The 18,569-nt window shown below is 42.1% G+C and overlaps 1 protein-coding gene and 1 long non-coding RNA gene across 21 annotated transcripts in view, besides 2 other annotated features; one reads left to right on the plus strand and one right to left on the minus strand.

Moving 5' to 3' along the window:
* The window catches only part of CARMIL1 (capping protein regulator and myosin 1 linker 1), a 341,157-nt gene that overhangs the window by 31,439 nt on the left and 291,149 nt on the right, over nt 1–18,569 (plus strand). The gene's annotated exons all lie outside the window — the stretch shown is intronic.
* Nucleotides 291–791: an enhancer, noted in NCBI's record as "H3K4me1 hESC enhancer chr6:25311331-25311831 (GRCh37/hg19 assembly coordinates)". NCBI's record gives its function as "activates a minimal SCP1, AML or CMV promoter by ChIP-STARR-seq in naive H9 embryonic stem cells {active_cell/tissue: H9 hESC(naive)}" and the evidence as "EXISTENCE:reporter gene assay evidence [ECO:0000049][PMID:30033119]".
* Nucleotides 4,847–5,537: an enhancer, noted in NCBI's record as "H3K4me1 hESC enhancer chr6:25315887-25316577 (GRCh37/hg19 assembly coordinates)". NCBI's record gives its function as "activates a minimal SCP1, AML or CMV promoter by ChIP-STARR-seq in naive H9 embryonic stem cells {active_cell/tissue: H9 hESC(naive)}" and the evidence as "EXISTENCE:reporter gene assay evidence [ECO:0000049][PMID:30033119]".
* Nucleotides 16,894–18,569, minus strand: part of LOC124901281 (uncharacterized) — a 124,485-nt gene continuing 122,809 nt past the window's right edge. Inside the window, exon 3 of the long non-coding RNA XR_007059512.1 lies at nt 16,894–17,925. This is a non-coding gene — a long non-coding RNA (uncharacterized LOC124901281). The remainder of the gene's footprint in view (nt 17,926–18,569) is intronic.

Here is an 18,569-nt window from a genome sequence, read left to right on the forward strand (position 1 = left end):
AGATTGCACTAAATTCTGGGAGCATATGTAAGATTTGTGTGATTTTGTTTTTTTTGTGATCTGGCAGAGAAGATGTACAAGCAATTAAAATGACTTCTATAAAACATGGTGGGTTGAGGCCGGGTGCGGTGGCCAAGGTGGGTGGATCACCTGAGGTCAGGAGGTTGAGACCAGCCTGGCCAACATGGTGAAATTCCATCTCTACTAAAAATACAAAAAACTGGCCGGGTGTGGTGGTGGGCGCCTGTAATACCAGCCACTCGGGAGGCTGAGGCCAGAGAATTGCTTGAACCCAGGAGGCGGAGGTTGCAGTGAGCCAAGATCGTGCCACTGCACTCCAGCCTGGGTGGCAGAGCAAGACTCTTGTCTCAAAACAAAACAAAACACAAAAAAAACCATGACGGGTTGAACGCATAAGTACCTTTAGTTTTTCCAAAATGTCTCTAAAATGAAATAAAATAAATAATGAAATAAAAAAGACACAGGCACCTCAAAGGTAGGAGAATAGGAGAGGAGATCACAGCAGTTAATTGCCATCAAGATGTCTTTGGAAGGAGTCACTGACTAAGCTGACTGGCTTAGTCACTGACTGGCTAAGCAGAGGAAGCTGGACTCTAAGGATCTCAAAGAGGATATCAGTAAGTGAGCCAGTTAGCTCCATAAAACTCCAGAAAAGTTCAGGATTTGGAAGCTCTAGGTCTTGCATAAGGCTGTAGGATATATAGAGCGGGGGAAAAAAAGAGCATTAGATGGAGATCTGTAAAAGCTGTTAAGCCCCAGTTCCCACCCCCACCCATCAGATCCAGGTGCTTGCCCCTCCTCTCACCCTGAAGGTTCTATTGTGAAAAGCTGTAAATCATTAGCCATCCATCCCCCCAACCTGCAAAGGTACACACCTAATAGATATGATACACACCCATCAGAAACAATGGCACACTTAGTTTAGAAGGGAAAAGTGGGCATACCCTTGTGGGTGTGTCATGATCTTAGAGGGCCAGGGGATAAGTAGTTTGAAAGTGATCTCCAAGGTGATTTTGAAGACACAATTCTCCCATCCCACTCTCGATTACTAGCCACTGATTTTGTCTCAGGAGGCATTAGCCGCCTGTCAAACTGCTGGGACATTATTTTTCTCTTAGTCAATAAAAGTAGTTTGACATCCATCACATATAGCATTTGCTAGGTCTTGTGGGAGGCAACGATTACAACAAAAGGGTAAAATATTGTCCTGTGCTCATGGAACTTCAAATCTAGTTATTGGTGATTATATACATTCTAAATTAAACACTTTCAAAATAAGACATCTTGTCAAGGTGAAGGATTAAAAACCTTTTTGTCCTATCCTGTCTATATTTCCTCTCACCCCCTCCCATCTGGGTGTGCTCAGATAAACTTTAGAGCACCCAAGGTTTATAGAACTCCTGACAGCGACCTCACCAAAGGCTGGACTTCCTATTTGTCATAAACTTGTTGAAATTTTGTTTGACTGCTTTAGTACAGGAGTATATTCCCCAAGACAAGAGACCTGAGAGCTTTTCCCTGGTTAAGATACCAAGGATGATTTCCAAATTTTAGACATCCTTCCCCTTGTTCCACCAATTTTTTTTTTCTTCTGGGAAAATAGCCAGGATGATTGCAAAACATAAGCTTGTAAAAAGGCAAAACTCCATGGATGTAAGAAAGTAAATTTCTTGAGGGCCACACCCATGATAACGCTGGAATTTTCATTTAATTCCTAACTCATTTTTTGTTGTTTTTGTTTTTTTAAACTCAAATGTGTCTCTTTAATTGAGGTCACTTACTTGGTTGGGAGATTAATATTCTGGTGGGGAAACTTTCTTTTTAGAGTTTATATTGTTTTATTCCTTCAGTCACTCAGTATTACTAATGGGGTAGCTTTTGGAATTTTCCATCCCCCCCACTTTCAGATTACTTTTGTCTTTTTTTTTTTCCCTGAGAAATTAGTGAAAACAGTTTGAAGTCTTGCCACGTTGTAAGGAGATTTGCATTATTTAAGGAAACAGCTGGCAGATCTCTATAATGCCCCACCTCTGTTCTGCCAGTGCCTAAAATTTCCTTTGCATGACTCAGTTAAAAAAAAAAAAAAAAAAAAAAAAAACCAGAGGAGGGGAACGAGTGGAGAGAAGAAACCCTTGTTTCCCTTTCTGAGTTGTAAAAAGCTTTTATCAAGGTTTACATTTAGTCATGCTTCTGTCCTCTAGTGGATGGCAGCATGTGATGAACTCAGAGAAACTCTTCTCCCAAATTGGCCAGTAAGAACTCTGCAAAAACTGTGGATGAGCTGAGCTTACCTCCCATAATTTTATTTTGAAAATAAAAAATTTTCCCCACATAGTAAACACAGTTATCTTCACGAGTGTGGGAATGATTAAGAAAAAAAAACCAAGCTTAGATTTTGCAAGATGGGTGACCTGAAGTTTTGCCTAGAGGGAGAGAAGGGTCTCTTCCTCCTTTCACTCTGTTCTTGACAGCGCCTGCAGCCTGCCCTGGAAGAACGGGTTTCTTCTTCAGATAGAAAGGAATTGCTGGCTCTTCTGCCAGCCTTGCCCATAGGCCTGGCTGTTTCCCTGATGCACCTTCCCTGCTCAAGTTGCTATCCTTATCATTTTATATTTTTGTGCCAGTATAGATTTGGTCCTATAAGGCTGCAGATACATAGTGGGCAGAAAGATGGGGGGATGAGAGCACTGAGCCTACAACCTATTTGGAGGGACTCTGGGCAGCATGAGGATGAGGGGCAGGGCCAGGGCCACCGCTAACTAGTTAGCAGTCAGGCAAATAGTCAAGGACAGAGACCTTGTATACATTAATAGTGCCAGCATTTTAAAGATCTTTACCCAGGGAAGGCTGTATATATACAGTTATTTGGGAGAAACCAGAAATGGTGTATTTAAAAAAATTGGATGCCTTAAACTTCCAAATAAATGCGTTTTAGAGCTCACTTATCTGGAGGTTGGCCTATAACATTCCCTCTCTGATGTCTTGCCTTTCAACTGTTTTTTTTCACTTCTCAGAGTGGGCATGAGAAACCACAGGATGTAGAAACATGGAGTCAGTTTTGCTAAAGCAGGCCCTCATGAGACTTGGAAGGGAAGAGGTGATGAGTCCAATGAGAGTTTAAAATTAGATGTTCAGTTATTGATTCTATGTTTTCTTTGTAGTCAGTCTTTTTCTAATTAAAGTGGGTAAGACATTTGAATATAGGGAGATAAATGTGCTATGTTAAAGGATATAAAAAAATCCTGGAGGAAGTCTGAACTCTAAACTCTTTGGCAAGTCTTTCTGCCTGAATTTTGAAGCAAACTTAAAGATTATATATGTGGCTGGGCCTAGTGGCTTATGCTGTGGCTCCTGACCTTGTGATCCACCCACCCGCCTCGGCCTCCATCCCAGCACTTTGGGAGGCCGAGGCGGGTGGATCACGAGGTCAGGAGCCCAAGACCATCCTGGCCAACATGGTGAAACCCTGTCTCTACTAAAAATACAAAAATTAGCTGGGTGTGGTGGCACGTGCCTGTAGTCCCAGCTACTTGGGAGGCTGAGGCAGGAGAATTGCTTGAACCCGGGAGGCAGAGGTTGCAGTGAGCTGAGATCACACCACTGCACTCCAGCCTGGGCGACAGAGCAAGATTCTGTCTCAAAAAAAAAAAAAATTATATATATACACACCCCCACACACAATACATACATACACATATATACGTATACATACACATACATATATATGTATGTATACATTCACACATGCACTTATATATTCACAATGATAGTTAAGCTAGTTTTTGCCCTCCTTATCAGTATGTCACATATCCATGTTGTTTCCTGGTATATCCAGCTGTTTCCTTAATGAGACTGCCTCCATCTTTCAGATATTTACCAACAGTTGAGTATATACTTGGCTTTATTGCAGGACCTGGCTATGATACAGATGGATGTACTCTGTATAGATGCCCAAAATAACTTTTATTTTTATGATGGTTAGATTTTGCCTGCATATTTAAGGTTTTGCTGTATATACTAATTTGCTTCAGAGTCAGAAAAATAGCAGCAAACTCTGAGAGGGGACTGAAAAAGTATCACTGACTTAGGGGTTATTATAGTAGGAATGGAACTACAGAGATAGCCTTTGTCACTGCTTTGTGAGAAAGCAGTGGAGAAAAATACAATAGCTCCTATTTATTAAAAGCTTCCTATATGTCAGTACTATATGTATTATCTGTTTTAATCCTCACAGTAACTGTGTGAAGCGGGTCCTAATTATCTTCCTTTTACAGATGAAGAAAGTGAAGGCAGTCTTTAGGTGTCCTCCCAAAGTTGCAGAACATGAGAGGCAGAGTGTGGATGAGGCTCTATGTCTTAGATTATAAGGACAGTGCTCATTTCCATTGCATTAAGGAAAATATCCTAGTCTATCCTGTTTAATCCTAGGAACCCTGTGGTGTGGAGAGGTTTTCTCTTACATACCAATTCTAAGCCTCTGCTTTGATCCTTTGTCTTGGTAGGCATCTTCTCTCCTCATTTACTGCTCACTGTGTGAGGATGATAGGCACTCCTCAGTTATAAACATCGCCCTTGCAAACATAGCAGCTTGGTCGCTCTCTCTGCGGTCTACCCTAAGGGCTCCCTAAATGCCCACACATGGCGGCAGGTGCCAGACTGGGGCCCGAGCAGGGCACTGGCTCTCCACAGCCTCCTCCATACCGCTGCCTGCTTTTTTTCTCTCATCTCTTCCCCCACCCGCCATTGTTTTTTTGTGTTTCCTTCCAGGCAGATTAGTTAATTCCACCTCAGGTAATCTCTTATTCTTTCTATGACAAAATGCATTCTTAGTTTCACACTGTTGTCATATAAATGAAGGAACCCTTTCACACAAATTGGGAATTGGCAGGATTTGATTCATCAATATTCTAGGCTGTTAGTTTTCCTTTTGCTGTGCTCACACAGAACCAGATACAGCAGAATTAAAGAGTAATAGGCACCCTCTAGTCCCTTGCTACTCAAATTGTGGTCCATGACCAGCGTCATTGCCAATACTTGGGGCTTGTTAGAACTGCAAAATCTCAGCCCCTCCCAGGCCTACAGAACCAGGTCCTGTAGTCTAACAAGATCTGCAGGAGCTTATTTGCACATTACACTTGAGAAACACTGTAAGCCTACCCTATTTCTGTCCTTTTCTTCCTAAGCTAAATGTTATGACTTGGTCACAGCTGAAAGCCTTCAGTGCCATTATTAGTAATGACGTTGGTGCTGATAAGGTTTGTAGATAACATTAAACTGAAAATGTTTCTTGACGTTAAACTGAGAAATGCTTCTAATGACCAGGAAGACAGAATTGAAAGTAGCCTTAATTAATTGAAGTGATTACTGTAAAACAGGTTAAAATTGCATAGGGAACACTGCCTGCCTGGCGAAGCATTGCATGGTGTGAGGAGTGGGCACAGGCGCAGCACTCAGGTGTTTTGCGTTTGTCTAGAAACACTGTCCTTTCAGTCCTTAAGCCTCATGGACAGCTGTTTCTCGGGGACTGTCAGGGTCTCAATTTTGAATTGTCTTACTGATTTTAGATGAGATAGTTTATATTCCAGAGGGCTTTTTTTTTTTTTTGAGACGGAGTCCCACTCTGTCGCCCAGGCTGGAGTGTGATCTCCACTCACCGCAACCTCCATCTCGCGGGTTCAAGCGATTCTCCTGCCTCAGCCTCCCAAGTAGCTGGAATTACAGGCGCATGTCACTGCGCCTGGCTAATTTTTGTATTTTTAGTAGAGACGGGGTTTCATCATGTTGGTCAGGCTGGTCTTGAACTCCTGACCTCAGGTGATCTGCCTGCCTCGGCCTCCAAAAGTGCTGGAATTAGACATGAGCCACCACGCCGGGCCATTATTATTATAATTTTTTTTAAAGACTAGTCTAGTGTAATAGAAGAGGGAAAGAGAAGAACAAGAAGTTCTGTCTGTAACTGACTGTGGACAATCAATGGAGATAATTCACAGCCTGCAGATTAGCCAGAGGGCCAATTGTTAAATCCTCATTATGCTGCCACTCTTGAGTCCTGTTAGGTTACTAGAAAGCAGTGCACCTGGAGACTCGGTACTTCTGTCTCAGAGCTGTCTTTCTAAAGTAAGATTTAGCATTAGGCCCTTAGTTTTTAACTGGGAAGTTGAGCAGAGAGGGAATGTTTGAAGACTGTTACTACAATTTTAAAACTAAAAGGTGTCACTGAGGGTACTGAGCGTGCTGTTTATTCTCTAATGCTCAGTTCCATGGGAGAAGTTTCTCTCAAAGTTGAGTTAGGGTGTTTTTTTCCTAAATGCTTTCTTTCTTTTTTTGGGATGGGGTCTCAGTCTGTTGCCCAGGCTGAAGTGCTATGGCTTACTGCAGCCTTGACCTTCTGGGCTCAAACAGTCCTTCCATCTCAACCTCCTGAGTAGCTGGGACTATAGGTGTGCATTACTGTGCTTAGCTAATGTATTTTTATTTTTATTTTTTAAAGATGAGGTCTCCCTATGTTGCCCAGTCTTGAACTCCTGGGCTCAAGCAATCCTTCTGCCTTGACCTCCCAAAGTCTCAAAGTGTTGGGATTACAGGCATGAGCCACTGCACCACCCTAAATGCTTTTATTTAGTGAGAGCCATAACATCATATTGTTTCCATATTCTTTTCATCTTCCAGGAAATTCCTAAGCTTTTTTTTTTTTAAACTATATGTTGGAAGCTTTCCTTTACTTAGGACTTTTTTTTTTTTTTTTTTAATAGAGATGGGGGATCTCATCGTCACCCAGGTTAGAATGCAGTGATACCATCACAGCTCGCTGCAGCCTCCACCTCCTGGGATCAACCCCTACCTCATTCTCCTGACTAGGACTACAGGCACTCACCACCACACTGGGCTAATTAAAAAAAAAAATTCTTTTTTGTAGAGAAGTGGTCTTGCTATGTCACCCAGGTTGATCTAGAACTCCTGACCTCAAGTCACCCGTCCGCATTATCCTCCCAAAGTGCTGAGATTACAGACGTGAGCCACTGCACTTGGCCTATTTAGGGCTTCTAATTCACTTTCCTTTTCCTTCTTGTCTAATTCTTGTGTTTTTAGAATCTGCATTTTATTTTAAGTCATCTCAAATTCCTTTTGGAAGTAGTGAGGGAGTAAATGCTAACCTTGTGTAGAAACCGTAAAGCGTATTCAATTTGTTTCTGTTTTATGAACTTGACCTTGTGTGAGCATCAGCCATATGCAGGACTATTGGGCTTGGAATGTGCCAGACCAAGCAGTCTCTAATTTTGTTCTCAGTTCAGAGTTGAGGGGCTGAGGAAGTTTTGGGCAAGAGTGAGGTCTGCTTGGGAGGATTGCCTTGACAGCTGTGCGCACAGTGGGTTGGAAGGGGAGCAGCAGGGCATCCGTTTGGCAGCTGCCTTGGTGGTCTCAGACTACCGCATCCATGCTGAAATTGGAAAGGAGAAGGTCGGGAAGGGAAAGACTGGGGACAAAGCGGACTGATTTGGGCAACGGGTGAGGTGCAGAGAGTAAGGAACAGGGACGAATATATGTGACCCTGGTTATCAGGCCTTGATGTTGCTTTGAAAACAGTCCTCTCCAGTTTTTGATATTTTTTCTTGTATATGGGGAGCTTGATAAACTAAGCCTTGGACCTTTGTTGTTTTGATCTGAGCTCTTTGTCATCTGTCCTACTCCGGGAAATGTGAAGTGGCTGCAGAAGGCACCTAACCTGTTCTTGTTCCCTTTTCTCTGCCTCGTACCTCAAGTTTTCTACCACTAGAGGAGAGGCGGGCTGAACTTCCTTAGCAAGATCTCTTTCATTTTTTGGGAGTCCCATTTTCTAATACAACTCCAGACCCATCAGCCACCCGGGAGACCCCACGTGGGAGCTGCGTTCCCTTTGCCAGGGAGATGCTCCTGGGAGTTGCATTAGGAAGGCGAGTCAGGAACAGATGGCTGTCCTGGGGGGTCTGGATGTCGGCCCAGCCCCATCTCCTCAAAGCCATTGTTTGCCCTGGTTTGTGAGGTGCTCAACAGCAGGGACAGATGCAATCAGAGAAGGATGAAATGCTCTTTTTCTTTGGACCTGAAATGGGACCCTATACTTAGTGCAGCCTTACTCAGTGACTACCAAAATTTGAAAATTGTGTTTTTCTGAGGCTGGGCTCATTGACTTCCGTGAGCTCTTATTAGCTGTTTACTCATGAATTAGGCAATTTAATTTGGGTAGAGGAGGGCAAATCAAATGAGAAGGAGCTGCCGTGTTTAAAATTACTATGAGGATAGACTGTTCTTAAAGGATCCTACTCAAGCCTATAGAAGCCTTCCTTAGCTTACATGTCGAGTAAATTAATTAGACGAATTGTGAATTATTCTGATTTATTCAGAGAAATCCTTTGCTCTGCAGGCCGTACTGGGCATCATGTGGCTGACTTCTTGTTCTGACTTTCTATGAATGTTTGCAAGTAATAAAATATATTTTTATGATTGAGACTTATTTAGTAATAATATTTAATATTAATATTTAATAATTTTAGGAAAATAATTTAGGTAAGGTTTTGCTGTGTATTGTAGCATGCATTCTTCTAAGCCATGCCCTTTGATATTAAAAGTTGTGCTAGTTTCAAAGGGCTCGATTTCCTTAACAGGAAGGCACCTATAAATCTGGCAGTAGGTAATGAAGGGAGAATGGTGGTCTTTTCAGTAGGGGAGGGCAGTGCACACAGAGAGTTATATGTTTTTTAGTCTAACTGCCCTAATCTAATCTCATGAAAGGTACATACACATTTAATACACATTTTTCTGGGGCCCATAGCTTTTATTACATTTTCAAAGGAGTAGATGACTCCTAGAAGATAGGAACCTCTGCAGAATAACTTCTTGAGTGAGATAACATTGTTGCGATTTGAGAAATACTGAATCTCTACATTTGGTCACTTTTTTTTTTTTTTTTTTTTTTTAAACAGAGTCTCGCTCTGTCACCCAGGCTGGAGTGCAGTGGAGAGATCTCAGCTTACTGAACCTCCACCTCCGGGGTTCAAGCGATTCTCCTGCATCAGCCTATTTTCACCTCTTTAAAGAAATATATTGTTATCGCTCCCTGAAAGTGGATTAGTTAAGTACTGTTTACCCTGCCTATGAAGAAAACTTACTTGCACATGTTATGTTCGGACATTAGTCAATGAAGATTAGTCAATGAGAACTAGTCGATGAACATGGTCAATCTTGCTTAAAGACTCAAAATATGCTGGAGTATGGTGTTAATTGTGGTAGTTTATGGCATTTTTCTGAAGAGAAAAAACACTCCAGCAAGGTAGGTAGGATAGTATATTCTCTGTCTTCTTCCTCCTGCCCACCCCTCTGTCTACATTAGAAACAGGTTTTGGAGGAGTAGTGGGAACATTGGGTGATTTCTAGTGGGGTTAGAGAAAGCAGTACCTGGTTCTTTGGCCACATCTACCAAAGCAAAGACCTAGACTTGTAGAGGAGAGTATTGTTTGCTTGTTTGAGGATTGTATTTCCCAGGTTTGTTCATTTGCATGAGTGGCTGAATAATGTAACAGAGACTTCAGAAGTAAGGAAAATGGTTGTCACCAAAATATCTTGTTTTACCTTTATTTGGACTAAATGGAAAACACATGTTTAATAGCTAAGGCTATTGAGTGCTTATCATTTGCCAGGAACTGTTTCTGAGCCTTTCACATATAACACCTCATTTTATCCACCCTCTACCCCTAACAAATGGTGTGGTTTGAGTTGGCCTTGGTGAGGTATGAAAAGGAAACAAAGCAGTGACCTCTTCCTGCAGGCTGGTCAGATGTTTGGGATAACATTCCTTAGCATTCTTGGTGGAAGTGGTGATTTCGTTGAAAGCTGCTTCCCAGTTGCTCTGGAGTGCAGGTGGGAGGGGTGGACTTTGGCTTTTCCAAAGGATCCCAGGAATGGGAAGGACCTTAAAGATCTAGACCAGGGGTATCCAATCTTTTGGCTTCCCTGGGCCACATTGTAAGAAGAAGAATTATCTTGGGCTACACGTAAAATACGCTAACACTAATGATAGCTAATGATCTTAAAAAATTGCCAAAAAAATCTCATAATGTTTAAGAAAGTGTATGAATTTTTGTTGGGCTGCATTTAAAGCCATCCTGGACTGCATGTGGCCCATGGGCCATGAATTGGACAAGCTTTATCTAGACTGTTCTGAACTACTCATCTGCCTCCCCCAGCCCCCACCCCCACCCCACACATCCAGAATTCTCCACCCATTGGTTGTCTGGCCTCTGCCTGAATAGCTGAGTACCTGTCTTTTCCAAAACTACCCCTTGAGGGGAGACTTACAGCACCCTGTAGCATAGTATATGATATTTGGCTAGTAAAATGTGATCCTTTAATATTTTTCAATCTTTATTGAGCACCCACCCACGGGGTTGGAGGAATTTAGGGGGTTCTGTGGCAAAACAAGAATAGAGTCTTTGCATTTGACTTCTCAGACTTGTAGGGACATACAGGTAAGCTGGATGTTCTGGTGAGCGCTGCTAGAGGCCACACAAGATGCTTCCAAAGCCTAGAGGAGGGTCTGATCCAGCCTTGAGGAGACAAGGTGGCATCTGAATTAATGAGTGCATTAATGGTGAATGCATACTGTTATTATAAAGCTCAGGGATGTTACAGCCTCTGATACTTTACACAAATAGAAAGGTTAAGGTAATTTTCTGTATAAAATAACAAAAATACCATCTAAAAATGATAACGCAGGAAATTTGAATATTCAGTACTGTTTTAAACCTTTCATTCTTTTAATTAATTTTATTTATTTCACTTATTTATTAATTTAATTTAATTTTTTTTTTTTAGCTGAAGTCTTGCTGTTGCCCAGGCTGGAGTGCAGTGGTGCGATCTCAGCTCACTGCAACCTCCGCCTCCTGGGTTCACACCATTCTCCTGCCTCAGCCTCCCAAGTAACTGGGACTACAGGCGCCCGCCACCACGCCCGGCTAATTTTTTGTATTTTTAGTAGGGATGGGGTTTCACTGTGTTAGCCAGGATGGTCTCAATCTCCTGACCTCATGATCCGCCTGCCTTGGCCTCCCAAAGTGCTGGGATTACAGGTGTGAGCCACTGAGCCTGGCCCTATTTATTTGTTTTTTAAAGAGACCAGGTCACGCTGTGTTGCCTAGGCTGCGTTAGAACTCCTGGGCTCAAGAGATGCTCCTGCCTCAGCCTCCAAAGTAGCCGCGATATAGCACGTACCACCATGCCTGGCTCTCTTTCAGTTAACTTTAAAGAAATCTGGTGTTTTTGTTTTTGTTTTTTGAGACAGAGTCTCGCTCTGTCACCCAGGCAGGAGTGCAGTGGCACTATCTCAGCTCACTGCAACCTCTGCCTCCTGGGTTCAAACAATTCTTGTGCCTCAGCGTTCTGATTAGCTGGGATTACAGGCGCTCTCCACCATACCCGGCTAATTTTTGTATTTTTAGTAGAGACAGGGTTTCGCCATGTTGGCCAGGCTAGTCTCAAACTCCTGACCTCAAGTGATCCGCCTGCCTCAGCCTCCCAAAGTGTTGGGATTACAGGCCTGAGACACTATGCCCAGCCTTCACTGCTTTTATGCAAAGGAATAAATAGAGTGATTATTAAAGTGCTCTGGATCACACACATACAAACACACATATGCACATACATACACACACACAAAAATACACAAACTTTAGGTAACATAAATGTGTGTGGCTGTCAGTGAATGCTGCATTTTTCTGAGCTTGTAACCTTCCCTTTACTAACTGTCTCCACATTATGACCACCTGAAAAATGCTACACTGCAGTGGTACATTCTTCAGCCCAACTAGGATTGGATCAGAGGAGTTACTGGGTTGATAGTCTTGGACTGAAGCTCTCTAAAGAGCAGAATTTCTGTGATGTGCAGGTAGCTTACTGTTACCCTGTAAGCTCCATTTTTTATATTTCTTTGCCCCTCCTTCTCAATATTCACACAGTTTTCACAGGACTGATTCAAGTGTGAAGCCAGGATCTCATCTTTTAACAGAGTGGCATTCCGCACAGTCTGAGGCATGATCTCTTTGTGTCTAGGTTGCTCCATTTAGCTTCAAAGGCAGCATGATGATTTATGGTCCATTTGTATTAGGGAAGACTCAGAGGAGGGCTAGAATTGTGATGGTTGGATTAATTCATTTTTTCCAGGCGCACCCTTTCCTCCCTATTCTTGGTTGTTTTGCAGATATCCCAAGTAATTCCAGATTCATTTGGAAGGTTTCTCTCTCAGTAGCCTGCTCTCTAGGTAGTTCTCAAATTCTAATAGACGCACAGACACAAAAATCTGCTTGGTAGGTGGGGTTTTTACTTTTTAGTGACTTTTATCTTGTGTGCCTGACCTGGTGCAGCATCTGGAAAAGTATTGGTAGAAAAGAATATTCTCAGTGAGAAGGAGAAGGAACAAGTAAAACAATGTGAACTAAAGGCCTGGCACAGTGGCTCACGCCTGTAATCCCAGCACTTTGGGAGGCCAAGGTAGGAGGGTGGCTTGAAACCAGGAATTCGAGACCAGCCTAGGCAACAGAGCGAGACCCTGTCTCTACAAAAAAAAAAAAAAAAAAAAGGCAAAAAACCCCCCAGAATTAGCCAGGTGTGGTGGCACATGCCTATAGTCCCAGCTACTCGGGAGGCTGAGGCGGGAGGATTGCTTGAGCCCAGGAGTTTGAGGCTGCCATGAGCTATGATCACACCACTGCACTCCAGCATAAAAAGCTTGGTTATTTATCTTAGTTAAAGCTGTCCTTAAAGAATTTATAAATGGTTGCAAATATTTCTGAAAATCATAGATGTATGGTTTCTATGGTTCCTGGTTACTTTATCCAGTAAAGTAACATGACAGCTTATTTTATGGATAGTCACTAGATTGTAAACCTTTGGAAGTTGGGACTGTTCCATTCATCATCTTCACATTCCCCACTGTGCAAAGCACAGTTTGCTCATTTGTTTTGTTTCATTTTTTTCCCTTTCAACTATAGTTTTCACATGTAAACCATCAAATTATAAGAGATTAAAGATAATTTAGGATTTAGGGTGTTTTGATTTTCTAGCTCATAAAATAAGGATGGAAGAGCAGTGATCAGTTGTGGTAATTGACTGTTATGGCAGAAGGCAAAAAGGCACAGAGAAAAGAGATAGAGGACAAGCCTGTTCTGGTTGGCATCCCAAGTCTAGATCCTCCATCTGGGAGCCCATGGCTCAGATAATACTCCAGGTAATCATGAATTGTGGGAGTTAACCCTGTTTAATGCCCCACAAAGGAACAGACCTGTAGGAACACCTTCTCCTGTCTGCTGCTGCCACAGAGGGTAGCAAATCCCATGCTAGGCGTGGAGAGGAGACTTGGGCATGTCCCTGGAGGGACACTGCTGCAGTCACTTCACTTACAGAGCTGGGGAGGCCCTGAATGGTGTCAGAGTTCACAGTGCAAAGCAGTAATTATGTTGAAGAATGTGACATCTCAAGATTCAACAAGTTTTTTTTTTTTTTTTGCCTTAAACATGAATGCCTATTCATAGAGGGATTATAGGAGCAAAGCTCTCTTAGATATTAAACACCCTGATCAGAAGAAAAAGAGAAGCAAATTCCTGATGTCAGGAAATAGCAGCAAATTTTTACAGAATGCTTAAGCCTGGCACAGCAATCCTAAGAATGTTGTTCAGTTTCATGGCTTTTCCTCTCATATTGGGCTGAATGTAACTTGTCCTTCATTTATGTAACAAAATATTTGAGTGCTTACTGTGAGCTAAGCACTTTCTCAGTGTTGGGAGTAAAGCAACAAGCAAAGCAAATCCCTAAGCTTTGGGGAGATGGAAAATAAATATCTGATAAAGTATATGGTAGTCATAAGAGCTGGGAGGATAGGAGATGGAGTAGGGTGATGGGTGCTGTTGGAGATAATATGTCAGGGAAGGGGGGGTGTTTAGTAGAGGGCTGAAGTGAGGGAGAAGGTGTTCCAGGTGAGGGCACAGGTGTGAATGTAGACCCTAATGTGGAAGTGTGCTTGGGTGGGTCAAGGAAGTGAACCCTAAGAGGACCACTGGGCAGAAGTGGAAGAGCTAGGATAGGGAGGTGGGGCTGAGGGTGACCAGGGGCCAAGCCATGCAGAGCCTCTTAGGTCCTGAGCTTTCTCAGTGGTCTCCCCTTCATCTGCTTTGGAGCTTGCTTTCCTATGTGGCAACATTAGTTCTAGTGTGATGAATATTAGTGGGAAAATAGAAAGTTCTATATAAAACTTACTTCTGGAAACTAAAGGATTCTTGCTTAGACCTCAGATGTTGATGGGTGGTAGATTAAAGGCCGTTTTCTCATTTGTTGAGCTGTGCCCTGAGATGAGTTTTCTATATTCGTGTGGTAGAGAATTCATTGAAACTTGAATACGTGCCATTATGTGAGGCAGAAGTGTATATTCTATGAAAGGGTGTTGACATATTGTCACATACCATGAGCTGCTTAATCTGGGAATATTTGTAAAAGTGTCATCTGGTGTGAAGGCTGATATTTAACTATCTTTAAAAAATACTGGAAAAGACAATTTGCTTGCAGATTTTAGGGTTTTGCTGTGGGTCTGTTTTTGTGGAAATGATTTGTGTTCAGTAGCATTTTTTCCCCTACAGTTTTCATATGGTACTGTTTTGACTTGTTTGGAAGATAATTTGCTTGGCTTAAAGGGAATTATTCGAACAATCTTAGAAGTTTAAAAAATTATGTTAGCTAGAAATCAGAAGTTTTTGCCTTTACTGAAAAGTTCATTATTTATTCATTAATTTATCCATCCATTTATACAACAAAAAGTGATTCAGCATGTAGCGTGTAGCAGACAGTGTGCTGAAGATACAGCAGATGTAACAGATATGGCTTGATTAGTCTTGCTAGGCAGCAAGAGACAAACATATGCATACACTTCCACACTAATTATGGTAAGGGCTAAAACTTATTGAAAACAGTATAGTGATAGGGAATTTGGAGTGGGGTGGGGAGCTGTGTAGGATAGTCAGATGAGACTTTTTTTTTTGAGACAGAGTCTTGCTCTGTCGCCAGGCTTTAGTGCAGTGGCGCAATCTCAGCTCACTGCAATCCCCACCTCCTGGGTTCAAGCAATTCCCCTGCCTCAGCCTCCCTAGCAGTTGGGACTACAGGCGCGCACCAGCTCGCCCGGCTAATTTTTTGTATTTTAGTAGAGACGGAGTTTCACCGTGTTGGCCAGGATGGTGTCGATTTCCTGACCTCGTGATCCGCCCACCTCAGCCTCCCAAAATGCTGGGATTACAGGCGTGAGCCACTGCGCTCGGCCTAGATGAGACATTTTTGAGAAAATAACATTTAAGATGAGGCCTGAAGGAAAATAGTGCCAGCCATTTGAAGAGTGAGGGAAAGGGGTTTCCAGGCAGATTCAATATATTGTGCAAAGGCCCTGAGGAAGTGTGTGGTTTTAGTGGAGAGCTAAAGAACCATGAGGCAAGAGCATCGGGATATCCAAGAAGTCATGCTGGATTACATATACTGGTCAGTAAGGAGCTTGGATTTGATTTTACTGGGGAAATAACATAATCTGATATGTTTAAAATGATTACTGAGGCTTCTAAGTAGAGCATTACACTGTTAACAGTAGTGGGAGTGAGAGGTCAGGCTTGGTCTAGGGCAGTGCTTCTCAATGTGTGGTCTCAGGATCAGCCCTATCAGAATGACCTGGAAACCTGTAAGAAATGCATACTTCAAGTCTTATTATGGACTTGCTGATTCAGAACCTGGAGGTGGGACTCAGCAATCTGCTTTAACAAGTCCTTTGGATGATCTGATATACAGAAAAGTTTGAGAACCACTGGTCTAGGGATTGCTGGAGGAGATGGTAAGCAGTAGATGGATTCTGGTGTATGTTTTGAAGGTAGGGATGATAGGACTTTTGTATATGGGAGCTGAGGAAAAAGGAGAAATCAGAAATATTATTATTATTATTAATGTTTCAAGACGGAATCCCACTGTCACCCAGGCTGGAGTGCAGTGGCATGATCTTGGCTCACTGCAACCTGATAAGGACCTTGTTTATTGTGATGAGGGAGACTGGTGGGGGTAGCAAAAGGACATAACTTTTGAACACATTGCGTTTGGAGTGTTCATGAAATGTCCAAGTGAAGATGTTGGCTGTTGATGGCAAAATGAGCGTACAGTCCAGAGGGAAGATGTAGTTTCAAATACAGCTCAGCAGAAAGATACAGTTTCCAGAAAGGAATTTGGGACTTGCCAGTGTACAGGGAGTATTTAAAGCAATTGAAATAGGTGTGATATCACCAAGGAGAGAGATAGCAAGGAGAGAGGGTGCAAGAGCGGGCAAAGGACCAAGCTGGAAGGAACTCTTGACATTCACAGGAGCAAGAGCCAGCAAAAGAACAGAAAGAACGGCCAGGGAGAGAAGAGAAGAAAACCAGGAAACTGGTTTCATGGGGAAATATTTCAGGAACAGAGTGATCAACTGTGCTTAATTTGTATGATGAAGCGGAGATTTGTAGCATAGAGATCACTAGGCATTCTATTTGGACTGTCAGTGAAATTGAAATAAAAAGTCAAGAATCAACTTGATTTCCATCACAGGTTTTAGATTAGAAGAAACCAGAGAAACACAGCCCCAATTTTCTATTTGCTAGTTTTCCAAACAGTAAGTTTTCATTGATTTCACTGGCTCCCCTCCGGCTACTATTTGCTGTGCACAAACAAAGTCTGAATGAGCATTTTGTAGTCCTGAAAAGGAGTAGCATATGGGCTTCAACAGCCGGTCATATTTTCTTTTATTACTATATTTAAAGCAACATTCAAGATTAAAAAAAAATTCCTGGCAACTAGCATAACAAGCTGCAATAAAATCATTCCTGGCTATTGATATGGGCTACTTTGTGCCTCATGTCATGTTATTGAATCCAACTTCTTGGAATTGACTGTCTTAATCTGTCACTTAGCAAATTTATATTGGTGAGGAAGAACAAAAACAGATTTATAACTTGCATATCTCTTCAAGCTTCTGTTAATATGCTCAATATTAGAATGTTCTACTTTTAGCGTTTTGGGTCATAAGCTATAGAACATTGGGGCTTGGTGAGAGGATATGGGCATGGGGAGAGGAATGAATATTTGGCATTATTTATGTTTGAACCATTGAGCTGGGGTCTTTAGGTTTATTATTTCATTTAATTCCCACTCTGACGTAGGTGGTATTTCCCTCATTAGTAGATAAGGAAATGAGCTAGTAAAGAAAACTATTTAAATCCAGATCTAAAATGGATCTTTATTCTGTGCCAAGCTCTTGGGGGAAGAGTATGTGTGGAGGAGGAGTTGTGGGGACTCACAGAGCAGTGGCAAGGCAAGCCAGAGATACAGCAAAGGGATATCAAGGACTAATGAGGTACTTTAAAGGAGATCGAGTCATGGTAAGGCATTTAAATTAGTTTTGTTAGCAAGTACTGCATGGAACAGGAAGACTCTGTACATGCTCAGTGTAGGGCTTGGTCCGTCAAGACTGGCTAGGAGTTTTCTAGATAGAGCCTTGAATCTTGCATTACAGTCACTACAGAGCATGAGCTCTGTGGACATTTCATGAAAAGCTTCCTTTCTACTTGGATATATTTTTTTACTTCTTGTGTGCATACTTGATTTATTTACTGTTCCTTATAGAGCTGCAAGGCCTTGTTTCTTTTCTATAGAAGTTATATTTCTCTGAGTTCAGATGTCACATCTTCGTTACCTTCTCTCAAGTTTTGCTATACAAGCTTAGGAACGTCATCTCTTTCTCTTCCAGAGTTATCTTCCATCATGTAGGCTTTGGAGCCACTTTCCTCAGAGCCTCCATTTGCCTCACCTCTTCTTGCCTGGGACCTTGTAAAAACAGTGATTGTGGTAATTAAATTGAGATATGAGGAATATATATAACTATTATGTAGTCATAATAATTAAAAATTTAAAAAAAATGCAATGAGAGGGGAAAAAAATCTCCTGGATTGGTGAGCTAGACAAAACTTCATGTTAATTAACATGGATGCTTTAATCCATCTATTCCTGAGTCCAGGACATCAAATCTTGGGTTCTACAATGGGTGCCAGTCTTAGGAGGGTCATATGTATTTCCAGTCACAAAAGATCTTTCTGTCATGTTGGAGAAGACAAAAGTTTATAAGAATCAGTGGGCCATTTAAAATGATAATGAGCAACTTAGGCGTAAAGCCAGATGTCACAGGCTGGTGGCTTGCAGCCTGCTCTACTGTGCTTTAAATACGCAGTATTTAAAAAATTGATGTTGGTTCCCAATATTTATAAATTGGGAGATATCAGCCATAAATCTAGATTCCATCCTCCCCCACCTTTAAAAAAAAGAAAGTTGGATCTGGGAACACTAGGTCTATGTTTGTGCTTAGCAGGAATCGGAAGAGCTGGGTTGTGACCAGGCTCTTTCTTTTAGCAGTGGCAAGCTCTTTTCAGCTTTCTGCCATCCCGAAAGCACCCTAGTGTTTCTCATTGGCCGTG

The sequence above is a fragment of the Homo sapiens genome, chromosome 6, assembly GCF_000001405.40.
Source record: "Homo sapiens chromosome 6, GRCh38.p14 Primary Assembly".
NCBI lineage: Eukaryota > Metazoa > Chordata > Mammalia > Primates > Hominidae > Homo > Homo sapiens.